Source organism: Homo sapiens, chromosome 9 (assembly GCF_000001405.40).
Source record: "Homo sapiens chromosome 9, GRCh38.p14 Primary Assembly".
Classification (NCBI taxonomy): domain Eukaryota; kingdom Metazoa; phylum Chordata; class Mammalia; order Primates; family Hominidae; genus Homo; species Homo sapiens.
Genome location: NC_000009.12, coordinates 122,488,261 through 122,500,965, shown reverse-complemented (window position 1 = coordinate 122,500,965; position 12,705 = coordinate 122,488,261). Strand labels below are relative to the sequence as shown.

Sequence of the window (12,705 nt, the reverse complement as noted above, 5' to 3'; positions counted from 1 at the left end):
TATTACTTCCAATGAATATGTATAATAGTTCCCTTAACCTTTCCCTTATTCACGGAAACTAGTTTGTAACTAATTCTTATCTCTTAAAATTATGCTGTAATTAGACATCTTTCTGCATAAAGTTTTTTTCAGTATTGAGCAAAACTGTAGAAACTTTCAAAAGTCAAAGCCTATACCATCAACGATCAAACTTCAGTGACTCCTATTTTGTTACAGATGGTGGCACCTAGATCACAGTTGACTTCTCCCCTACAAATTAGCTATCAACTTGAGTGCCTTCAACATTTGCTTAAGTGAACCATTCACCGTCATAACAGCTTTAGTCTTTGACCTCATCTTCAATGACCTTGACCTCCCTTGCAGTTTAGTCATCTTTTCTCATGGCCATATCATGAAATCGGAAATTCCTTTACCTAAAAAATGTTAAATCTAGTGCCATAGCCACTTGGAAATAGCAAGATAGTACATAGAGATCAACTCTGTGCACTTTAATTCAAGAAGGAAAATGAGAATCCACCAGAATCATGAAGCACACCCCAGATCCCAGAGAGGGGAATGCTGGCAAATGGACCCTGTGACTGCATCCAGCTGCTAAAAGTGAGTAAAGCTCCAGTACGTGAGAGAGGCAGAGAGCCTCCCTCTGTGACTCCCCTATCCACTGGAGATCTGAGCAACCCAGGCTGAGAGAGACAATTTTGCTTCTCTCAAGCCCTGGAGTTAACTTGGGGAGAAGCTTGGAGACACTGTGAGGAAAACACACCAAAAAAACTGCAGACATTTTCCCAGACCCAGGACTGACAGCAGGATGCCATTTTTAATCCAAGTGCATACAAAGTCAGCTATTCTTTGACAGTGTGGCTGTGCAAGCATTTTAGTCTAAGGCCAGAAATTGGAGCACCTGCTCTAGAACACAGTAACGACCTCTACAGCCAGAACTATGGAAAGTGTTTCAGCAGTAGGTGCTATAATTGTGCTCCTGTTGCAAGCCTGCAGTGGGAGGAGAGCTGCTACAGCTGTGGCTTCTCCTGGGCAGCAACACTTGCAGCCAAGGCCAGCTTGGTGCCCTGAAACTGATCTATGTGTGCCATTGATGGGTGCCCCACCCTGCTCCCCTGAGATCGTGGTGCAGCAGGGCCCTCTCTGCTCCACTTCCAGGCAGAAAACAAAGCATTTGGGGTCCCTGTTTGTCCAGACTAGCAGCATGAGCTGCCCAACCCTTCCTGGACATAGATCTTGGTGCAGCGAGGCTCTTCCCTTCTCCACAGCCAGGCAGATCTTCAGGCATTCAGAGCACCTGTTCACCTGGATCAGCAGCCTGACCCACCCTATTCTTCCTGTGCAGAGATCCTGGTGCAGGGAGACCCCACTGCTACATGCCCAGGCAGATCTCCAGGCAGTCAGAACACCTTCTTGCTTCATCCAGCAACCTGAGTTGCCTCCACCCCTCCTGTGCAGAGATCTTGGTGCACAGGGGCTCTCTCTGATCCATGCCCAGGCAGATCTCCAGGCATTCAAAGCACCTGTTTGCCTGGTTCAGCGGCCTGAGATGCCACATCCCTCCTGTGCAGAGATATTGGTTTAGGGGGTTCCCCTCTGCTTCATGCCAGGCAAATCTCCAGGGATCTGAGCCCTTACTCTCCTGGATTAAAAGCTTAGGCAGCCCCCTGTCCCCATGCAGAGAACCTGGAACTAAGGAGGTTTCCCTGCTCCACACCTAGACACACCTCTGGGATCCTGGTGGCCACCCACTGGATTCTCCATTGGCATTGGTTCTTACGCCTGCCATCAAGGGACCCGCAGGTAAACCTGCCCAGTCCAGCCCTGTCCTTCATGGCTCAACCCACAGGCCTGGGCAGGGAGCTCAGACTACTGTGCATTCCTCAAATCAGATCATTGCCTGAGGCAAGAGGGAGCTTCTGCCAGTAAACAAGGATTAAGTACAGACCCAACCTTGTTGGCTGCAGCCAGCTGTTACCTATAGTGCCATCTATAGGCTTGTGGGATGAACTGCACAGCCCAATATAAAATCTGCCAAAAGAAGCACATGGAGCTACAGAAGCAATGCCAAAATACCCTACCCCCCAGTATTCTCTACAGTTACACCTCATGGGGAGAGGAGAAAAGGGAAATAATAAATAATAACATTAACGGGAAAGAAAGAAAAGGAAAAAATCCTATCTGCACAAAAATAATCACAAAAATTAGAAGTGCCAGCATCTCCAGATGAAAAGGAACCAGTGCAAGAATTCTGGCACCATGAAAAATCTGAATGTAGTGACACCACCAAAGGATTGCACTAGATCTCCAGCAGAGGTCCCTAGCCAAAATGGAATCTCAGAAATGACAGATAAAATATTCAAAGATGGATTTCAAAAAAGTTTAATGAGATTCAAGGCAAGGTTGAAAATCAACACAAAAAATCTTCTAAAGCTATCCAGGAAATGAAAGAAGAGATAAACCCCTTAGAAAGAAATCAGTCGGAGTTTCTGGAGTTGAAAAACTCACTTAAAGAATTTCAAAACATAAGTGAAAGCTTCATCAATAGACTGGACCAAGCAGAATAAAGATTTTAGAGCTTGAAGATCAGGTTTTTGAATCAACCTAGTCTAATAAAAATGAAGAAAAAATAATTTTTAAAAATTTGTTTTAATGAGCAAAGTCCTTGGGATTACATAAAGTGACCAAACCTATGGATTATTGGCATCCTTGAGGAAGAAGGAAAAAAACAAACAAACAACCTGGAAAATATATTTGAGGGAATAATTCAAGAAAACTTTTCTAATATTGCTAGAGAGGTATACATCAACCACAGAATATACATTCTTCTCATTTGCACATAGAACCTACTCCAAGATTGACCACACGCTTGGCTGTAAAGCACATCTCAATAATAAAAAAAAAAAAACCCAAATCATGCCAATCATATGCTCAAACCATCATGGAATAAAAATAGAAATTAATACCAAGAAGATTTCTCAAAGCCACACAATTACATGAGAGTTAAATTACTTGCTCCTGAATAACTTTTTGGTAAACAATGAAGTCAAGGCAGAAATAAAAAAATTCTTTGAAATAAATGAAAATAGAGACACAACATACCAAAATCTCTGGAAAGCCACAAACACTGCAGCAAAAGCAGTATTAACAGGAAAGTTTATAGCGCTAAATGCCTACCTCAAAAAGTTAGAAAGACCTCAAATTAATGACCTAACATCACACTTAGAGGAACTAGAAAAACAAGAACAAACTAACCCTAAAGATGGCAGAAGAAAACAAATAAGCAAAATCAGAGCAAAACTGAATGAAACTGAGACCCAAAAATGCATACAAATAATAAATGAAACCAAAAGTTGGTTCTTTGAAAGAATAAAAAATACCAATAGACCACTAGCTAGATTAACAAAAAAAAGAGAAGATCCAAATAAGCACAATAAAAAATGACAAAGGTGACATTACAACTAATCCCACATAAATACAAAAGATCCTCAGGGACTATTACGAATACCTCTACACACACAAACTAGAAAATCTAGAGGAAATAGATAAATTCCTGAAACTATGCAATCTCCCAAGATTGAATCAGGAAGAAATTGAAACACTGAATAGGCCAATATCGGGAGGAAGATGGTAGATAGGAGGCAGGACTAACTTGCAGCTCCCACTCTGATGGACAGAGAAGCACGTGGGGACTCACATCCTGAAATTTTGTTCCAAGAACTATCTACAAGAACATACCAGGAAAGTCAAGAGAATCCACAGACCCTTTGAAGGAACTGGATCACTGCTGCAGGCTCCCTGAGATGCCAAAAAACTGTGAGTCTGCTTGCTTTCTCAACAGGAAGGCTTGTGGTCTGGGAAAGTTCTTAGCCCTGGTCACCTGCTGCTTGGAAATAGACTCAGTGCTGTCGGGATGTACAGGGGGGAAGGAGACATGGTGTGAGTAAGACTGGCCTTTAGGATGCATGCTGCGTGGGAGCAGGGTGAGTCTTTCTCACCTGCCGGCTTTCCCCCACTTCTCTGGTGACCTGTGTGAAAGGAAAATAAATCCTGTGGCCCCAAAATCACTAAGCTAAAGGGAATAGTCAAGCTGGAAACTACTTAAGGCAAACCTGCCTATCATTTTATTCAAAGTCACCCCTCTGCTCACTGAGATAAATGCATGCCTGATTGCCTCCTTTGGAGAGGCTAATAAGAAACTCAAAAAATGCAACCATTTGTCTCTTATCTACTATGACCTGGAAGCCCCCTCCCTGCTTTGAGTTGTCCCACCTTTCCAGACCAAACCAATGTTCATCTTACATATGTTACTTGATGTCTCATGTCTCCCTAAAATGTATAAAACCAAACTGTGCTCTGACCACCTTGGGCACGTGTCATCAGAACTACCTGAGGCTGTGTCTCAGGCACATGTCCTCAACCTTAGCAAAATAAATGTTCTAAATTAACTGAGACCGTCTCAGATATTTGGGATTCATACCTGTATGACATAGCAGAAGCAGCCATAATCCCCCTGGGAATATAACTCCATTGGCCTAGGAACCACCTGCGACTCCCACAGAAGCCGCGGCAAGCCTCACCCAAGGACAGTCTAAGCTCAGACACTTCCATCCTGCCCCCACCTGGTGGTCTTTCTCAACCCACCCTGTAGCTGAAGACAAAGGTCATAATCTCTTGGTAGCTCTATGGCCCTGCCCACCTGAGAAACCTGAATGCTTAACTAGGTGTCCCTAGGGCAAGTTTGCATCCTCCCCATAGGACTGCAGCTGATGTGCTCTTGAAAGCACCACCTACTTGCTGGAGTTCAACCAACACAAAACCAACACACTAAATAAAAACACAACCAAGGACCCTCACACAGTCAACTTCATTCCCTGCTACTACCTCCACCAGAGCAGGTGCTGGTACCCACGTTGCAAGACTTGAAGACAGATCAAATCACAGTACTCTTTGTAGATACTCCCCAGTACCATCCCAGGGCCTGGTAGCTCCACTGCATGGCTAAACCTAGAAGAGGAAAAACAATCACTACAGTTTGGCTTCAGGAAGCCCCATTCCTAGGGGAAGGGGGAGAGCACCACATCAAGGGAGCACCCGGTAGGACAAAGGAATCTGAACAGCAGCCCTTGAATCCCAGATCTTCCTTCTGACATAGTCTACCCAAACAAGAAGGAACCAGAAAAAAATGCTGGTAATACAACAAAACAAGGTTCTTTAACACCCCCAAAAGATCATACCAGCTCACCAGCAATGGATCCAAACCAAGATGAAATCTCTGAATTGCCAGAAAAAGAATTCAGGAGTTCGATTATTAAGCTAATCAAGGAGGCATCAGAGAAAGGTGAAGTGCAACTTAAAGAAATCAAAAACATGATACAGGATACGAAAGGAAAATTCTTCAGTGAAATAGATGGCATACATTTTAAAAAAAAACTTCTGGAAATCAAGGACACACATAGAGAAATGCAAAATACACTGGAAAGTCTCAACAATAGAATCAAACAAGCAGAAGAAAGAACTTCAGGGCTCAAAGACAAGGCTTTTGAATTAACTCAATCTGTCTAAGACAAGGAAAAAATAATTTTTAAAAAATGAACAAAGCCTCTAAGAAGTCTGGGACTATGTTAAATGTCCAAACCTAAGAATAATTGGTGTTCCCAAGGAAGAAGAGAAATCTAAAATTTTGGGAAACATATTTGAAGGAATAATCAAGGAAAACTTCCCCAGCCTTGGTAGAGATCTAGACATCCAAATATAAGAAGTTCAAAGAATACCTGGGAAACTGATTGTAAAAAGATCATCACCTAGGCACATAGTCTTCAGGTTATATAAAGCCAACATGAAGAAAAAAATCTTAAGAGCTGTGAGGCAACAGCATCAGGTAACCTATAAATGAAAACCTATCAGATTAACAGCAGATTTCTCAACAGAAACCCTACAAACTAGAAGGGATTAGGGTCCTATTTTTAGCCTCCTTAAACAAAACAATTATCAGCCAAGAATTTTGTATCCAGCAAAACTAGGCTTCATAAATGAAAGAAAGATACAATCTTTTCCAGGCAAACAAATGCTGAGCAAATTCACCACTACCAAGTCAGTACTACAAGATCTGTTAAAGGGAGCTCTAAATCTTGGAACAAATCCTTAAAATACACCAAAATAGAATCTCCTTAAAGGATAAATCTCACAGGACCTACGTAACAATAACACCATGAAAATAAAACCAAGTATTCAGCAACAAATAGCATGATGAACAGAATACTGCCTCATATCTCAATATTAACATTGAATGTAAATGGCCTAAATGCTCTACTTAAAAGATAGAGAACGGCAGAGTGGATAAGAACTCACCAACCAAGTTTCTGCTCTCTTCAGGAGACTCGCCTTGCACATAAGGACTCACATACACTTAAGGTAAAGGGGTAGAAAAGATATTCCATGCAAATGGACACCAAAAACAAGCAAGAATAGCTTTTCTTATATCAGAAAAAACAAACTTTAAAGAAACAGCAGTTAAAAAAGACAAAGAGGGACATTATATAATGATAAAGGGACTAGTCCAACAAGAAAATATCACAATTTTAAATGTATATGTACCTAACGCTGGAGCTCCCAAGTTTATAAAACAATTACTACTATACTTAAGGAATGACATAGATGGCAACACAACAATAGTGGGGCACTTTAACACTCCACTGACAGCACTAGACAGGTTATCAAGACAGAAAGTCAACAAAGAAACAATAGACTTAAACTATACCGCAAAACAAATGGACTTAACAGATATTTATAGAACATTCTACCCAACAACTTCAGGATATACACTCTATTCATCAGCACATGGAGCATTCTCCCAATAGACCATACAATAGGCCACAAAACAAGTCTCAGTAAATTTAAGAAAATCGAAATTATAGCAAGTACTCTCTCAGACCACAGTGGAATAAAATTGGAAATCAACTCCAAAAGGAAACCTTAAAATCATGCAAATATATGGAAATTAAATAACCTGTTCCTGAATGATTGTTGTGTCAACAATGAAATTTTAAAAATTCTTTGAACTGAGTAATAGTGACGTGATCTATCAAAACCTCTGGGATACAGCAAAAGCAGTGCTAAGAGGAGAGTTCATAGCATTAAATGCCTACATCAAGAACTCTGAAAGAGCACAAATAGACAATCTAAGATCACACCTCATGGAACTGGAGAAACAAGAACAATCCAAACCCACAACCAGCAGAAGAAAAGAAATAACGAAGACCAAAGCAGAACTAAATGAAACAAACAAAAAACAATACAAAAGATAAAACAAAATGCTGGTTATTTGAAAAGATAAATAAAATTAATAGACCATTAGTGAGATTAACCAAGAAAAGAAGAGAGAAGATCCAAATAAGCTCAATTAGAAATGAAATGGGAGCTATTACCACTGATACCACAGCAATACAAAAGATCATTCAAGGATACTATGAACACCATTATGCTCATTTACTAGAAAACCTAGGAGATGAACAAATTCCTGGAAATATACAACCCTCCTAGGTTAAACCAGGAAGATATAGAGTCTCTGAATAGACCAATAACAAGTAGCAAGCTTGAAATGGTAATTTTTAAAAATGCCAACGAAGAAAAGTCCAAAACCAAATGGATTCACAGCTCAACTCTATCAGACATTCAAAGAAGAATTGGTGCCAATCCTACTGACATTATTCCAAAAAATAGAGAAAGGGGGAATCCTTCCTAACACATTCTGTGAAGCCAGTATCACCCTAATACCAAAACCAGGGAAAGATAACAAAAAAAGAAAACTATAGGCCAATATCCCTGATGAACATAGATGCAAAAATCCTCAACAAAATACTAGTGAACCAAAACCAAGAGCATAACAAAAGGATAATCCACCATGATCAAGTGGGTTTCATACCAGGATGCAGGGATGATTTAACATACGTAAGTCAATAAATGTAATACACCACTTAGAATTTAAAACAAAACTCACATGATGATCTCAATAGACACAGGAAAAGCATTTGACAAAATCCAGCATCCTTTTACGATTAAAACCTTCAGCAAAATTGGTGTATAAGGGACATACTTTAAGGTAATAAAAGCCATCTACAACAAGCCCACAGCCAACATTATACTGAAGGGGGAAAAGTTGAAAGCATTCCCCCTGAGAACTGGAACAAAACAAGGATGCCCACTTTCATCACTTCTATTCAACATAGTACTAGAAGTCCTAGCCAGAGCAATCAGACAAGAGAAACAAATAGTAAAATCAGTAAAGAGGAATGAAGTCAAAAACAATAAATGTCGGTGAGGCTGCAGAGAAAAGGGAATGTTTATACACTGTTAGTGGAAATGTTAATTAGTTCAGACACTGTGGAAAGCACTTTGTAGATTTCTCAAGGAACTCAAAACAGAACTACCATTTGACCTAGAAATCCTATTACTGGGTATATATCCAAAGGAAAACAAGTTGTTCTACCAAAAAGACAAATATACTTGCATATTCATCACAGTACTATTCACGATAGCAAAGACATGGAACCAACCCAGGTATTCATCAATGGTGGACTAAATAAAAAAATGTGGTACATATATACCATGGAATACTATGAAGCCATAAAAAGAATGAAATCATGTCCCTTGCAGGAATATGAATGCAGCTGGAGGTCATTATCCTAAGTGAACTAACTCAGGAAAAGAAAACCAAATACCACATGTTCTCACTTATAAGTGAGAGCTAAACATTGGGTAGTCAAGGACTTATGTGGCAATAATGGACACTGGGAACTGTTAAAGAAGGGAGGGAGGGAGGAGGCAACAGTTGAAAAACTGTTAGGTACTATGCTCAGTACCTGGGTGATGGGATAATTCATACCCCAAACCTCAGCATTATGCAATATGCCCAGGTAACACATTTGCACATGTACCCCCTGAATCTAAAACAAAAGTTAAAAAAGAAAAAATGTTAAATCTAAACATTCAATTCTTTTTTCTCTCTTTTTTATCCTACCCATTATATAGGATATTTGGCCTCATAAATCTATCCAGTCTCTGATCCTGTTCATTTTTCCCCAAAATTTGTTTTGCCTTCACTCTTACCTCTTCAGGATGAGCTGCGTGGTTTATAGTTCTCTTACCAATTTGCCTGTCTTTACCACAAGGTCCTTCCTTCCCACTCTTCCACCAAAGCTTCAATGTTGAATCAATCTAACCATCCACCATGTGTACATCCTGTTTATTATTCAATGCACTGTAATCTAGATTCCATTCCCACCTTTTATTTGCATTGCTCCTAGTCATGTCACCGAAATCCTCATTATTACTAAATCCAATGAATGGTTTCAGCACTTAACCTTGGCTCTACATTTTTATATTCTCCTTCTCCATCTCTGGTTGTTATTTGATGTCTTTTGGGGGCTTTATTTCTCTGCTACTATCTTAATTGTCAATGTTCCCTGTGGTCTGTCCTCAGCAACTATTCCCTTCCCTTTCCTTGCTTTTCTCCCTTCTCCTTTCCTCTTCTCTCCTCCCTTTCTCTCCCCTCCTTCTTCTTTTTCCTCAGCTTTTACTAACCTCATTTGTTTTCAGGCAATCTCATCCTCCTCTATGTTGACAGTCCATGAATTTCTATCTCTATCCAAAATATATCCACCTGCCTACTAAATTTGTCTCATGGATGACCTATAGGTACCTCATACTCTATGCAATACAACTTCTCAAATCTTTTTCTTCTATATTGCCTTCAGTGAATAGCACAACCATACACTCAGCTGTCCAAGCCATAAATTTAGAGAGGTTTTCAACTCCTTTGTTCTCCTTATTTTCTACATTCTTATCAAAATCAACTCACATCAAAATTACTATATCCATTAGATTCTGACTACGGAGACTTAAATCAATATAGTTCTAACATCATGGTCACTCTCTTATACACACTTTCATAATCTCTTACCTAAATGACTGTCATCTTCTCCTAATGAGTCTCTTTGCTTCTGGTCTTGCATTCCACTACCCCATGCCTGCTCTGCCAACATGTCCTCTGCCCACTGCAAACACATGCTCATTATCCACTCCTGAACTATACCAACTGTGTTTAGTATGATTGTCAATCTGCTGATCAAGTCCTTCCATGGCTCTTTCTTTCCTTTTGAGTAATATGCAAATTCTTCAATATGGCTTCTAAGGTCCTGCATGATTTATTCCTTCTAGTTTCTCTGGACTCATCCTGAACCTCTTCCCCTGTTCAAGTGTACATTTTAGCCACTCTAATTTTTCTGACAATTGTTTCCTAAATTTGCCATCCTTTCTCTTCTGTAGGTCTTTTCCTATTCCTCTGTTTCTCTCCCTTTCACTGCTCTGCCTCTATGTTGTTGACATCACCTTCTACTTGTTTTGATTTTCTTGAGTTTCTGCTTACTTGTAACTTTCTACAAGCCTACTTGCTGTTCTGTGTGGGAAACGCATGAGGGGAGAAGAAAAGACACACACAAAATACCTTTAAGGGTAAACAAGCTTTATCCCACGTAAATGGCAATGCAGATATAACAAGCCAATGATATAATAAGCAAATTGATATAATAAGCAAGTTGCAATGGGAAGGGGATAAAGGAAAAGAGATATATATATATTTACACTCACCACCCCACATTGGATGGGGAGATGCATTTGGGGATGGCCATTAATTCCATTCACCATCTGGGATAATATTCCCTCCCCAGTAATCTAGATGCTTACAAACATCACTGGTTATGAATGTGCCAGACTCCCTGATGATGGTACCCTATCACAGTATTCTCCCCTGCCACCAGTACAATCCTGCTTCAGCAACAAATTAAAATATTAAGCTTACATGTAGAAAAAGCTCTTAATGATAGTAGCACTGGACTTATGTTATCAGATGAATTTGCTCAGCCGTGCACTGTTGTGTTGCAAAATCGAGAGGCATTAGATATGCTTACCACAGCCCAAGGAGGGGTTTGTGCCTTACTGCATACTAAATGTTATGTGTCTATCCCTGACAATTCTCACAATATTACTCTCCTTGCAAAGCTATCGTAGGTGTGGTTTTTATTAATTGCGTTTTTAATTCTCCTGTGCTTACCATGTATCTGTAATCTATCAACTGTGCCTTCCCCATGTATCTGTAAGGGTATTTTCCTACAACTGAGTATCAAATTGAGGCCCAATGTGGAGAAAAAGTTAAATATTAAATTTGAACTCAATTGAACGTGGACACAAACAATGGTCACCAAGTCCGGGAACAGGTTGTGTGAGCCCCTTGAGGCATTCATCCAGCACTGTTTCGGAGAAATCTCTATTTCAATCTATTCCTATACATTGGTTATTGAAAAACAATAGATAATTGCAAAAACAAGTTGATCTTTTTGTGTTCCTTGAGCCCAGTCGCAAAGGGCCCTCGTCACTGGGCCTCATGCAAAACAACTTCTTACAAAAAGAGCTAGGGTCCCAGACCCTAGCACCGAAGCTTCATGAAACCTCTCCTTGTCTGTGCACGGACAAGTGGCCGACTCTGGAGCCCAGGCTGTTTCTTCCCAGTCTGGTGGTGAATCCTCCACAGTCTGGTGAGTTTTGTATCTGACTCTGGAACCCAGGCTGTTGCTTTCCAGTCTGGTGGTGAATCCTCCGTAGTCTGGCGAGTGTAAATATATATATATATATTTATATATGGAATAAAGGAATGGTGTGTGTGTCTTTTCTTCTCCCCTCATAAGTTTCCCACACAGAACACTTGCTTGATGCCTTTAATTTGGGTTTGATGCCCCCCTTTGTGTTCCCACAGCACTCGGCTCTTACCTTCATTACAGTGTCTGATGTGGACGGTTTTGTCGATCTCATTCAATGGATTGGGAACTCTTTGGGGACAGAAAATTGTGTTTTCCCATGGACACAGAGATGGGAACATCACACACCAGGGCCTGTCAATGGGTGGGGGGGTTAGGGGAGGGATAGCATTAAGAGAAATACCTAATGTAGACGATGGGTAATGGGTGCAGCAAACCACCATGACATGTGTATACCTATATAACAAACCTGCACATTCTGCACATGTACCCCAGAACTTAGAGTATAATAAATTTTAAAAAAAGAAACTTGTGTTTTCTTTACTTACAGTGCCTCACAAAATTCTTGCCACATCATATTTATACAATATTCTTCTGAATGAGTAAATGAATGCACAAATTATTCAAAGAAATAATGAAAAAAGCAATCTCCTCCACTTAATTCTCCGTCTCTTTTATATTTTTGCCAACCTGAATGTAGCAGGTTTCTGAAGATTCTCACACTCATTTTTATGGTCAAAGAATACTTTTTGAGCCCTGAGTCTGTTCCAACTATTATTATGTGTCATCACTAACCAAAAATAAATCCTGCATGTATTCAGGTGTTTCCCATGAGGAAAATAAATCTCTAGTCCTTGAAAAGTGTTCTTAATCCTCAGGGACTAGTAACACCTCTCCTTCCAGTTCCAAATTGAATGTGGGAAGGAGGAAGTCTGTATAGGCCAGGAGCGGTGGCTCACGCCTATAATCCAGGCACTCTGGGAGGCTGAGGCGGGCAGATCACCTGAGCTCAGGAGTTTGAGACCACCCTGGGCAACATGGCAAAACCCCATTTCTACTAAAAATACAAAAAATTAGCTGGACGTGGTGGCACACACCTGTAATTCCAGTTACTTGG

At 40.3% G+C, this 12,705-nt stretch overlaps 1 protein-coding gene across 3 annotated transcripts in view; it reads right to left on the bottom strand.

Annotated features, from left to right (window-relative positions):
* The window catches only part of OR1J2 (olfactory receptor family 1 subfamily J member 2), a 132,995-nt gene that overhangs the window by 79,462 nt on the left and 40,828 nt on the right, over window positions 1-12,705 (bottom strand). The window lies entirely within an intron of this gene.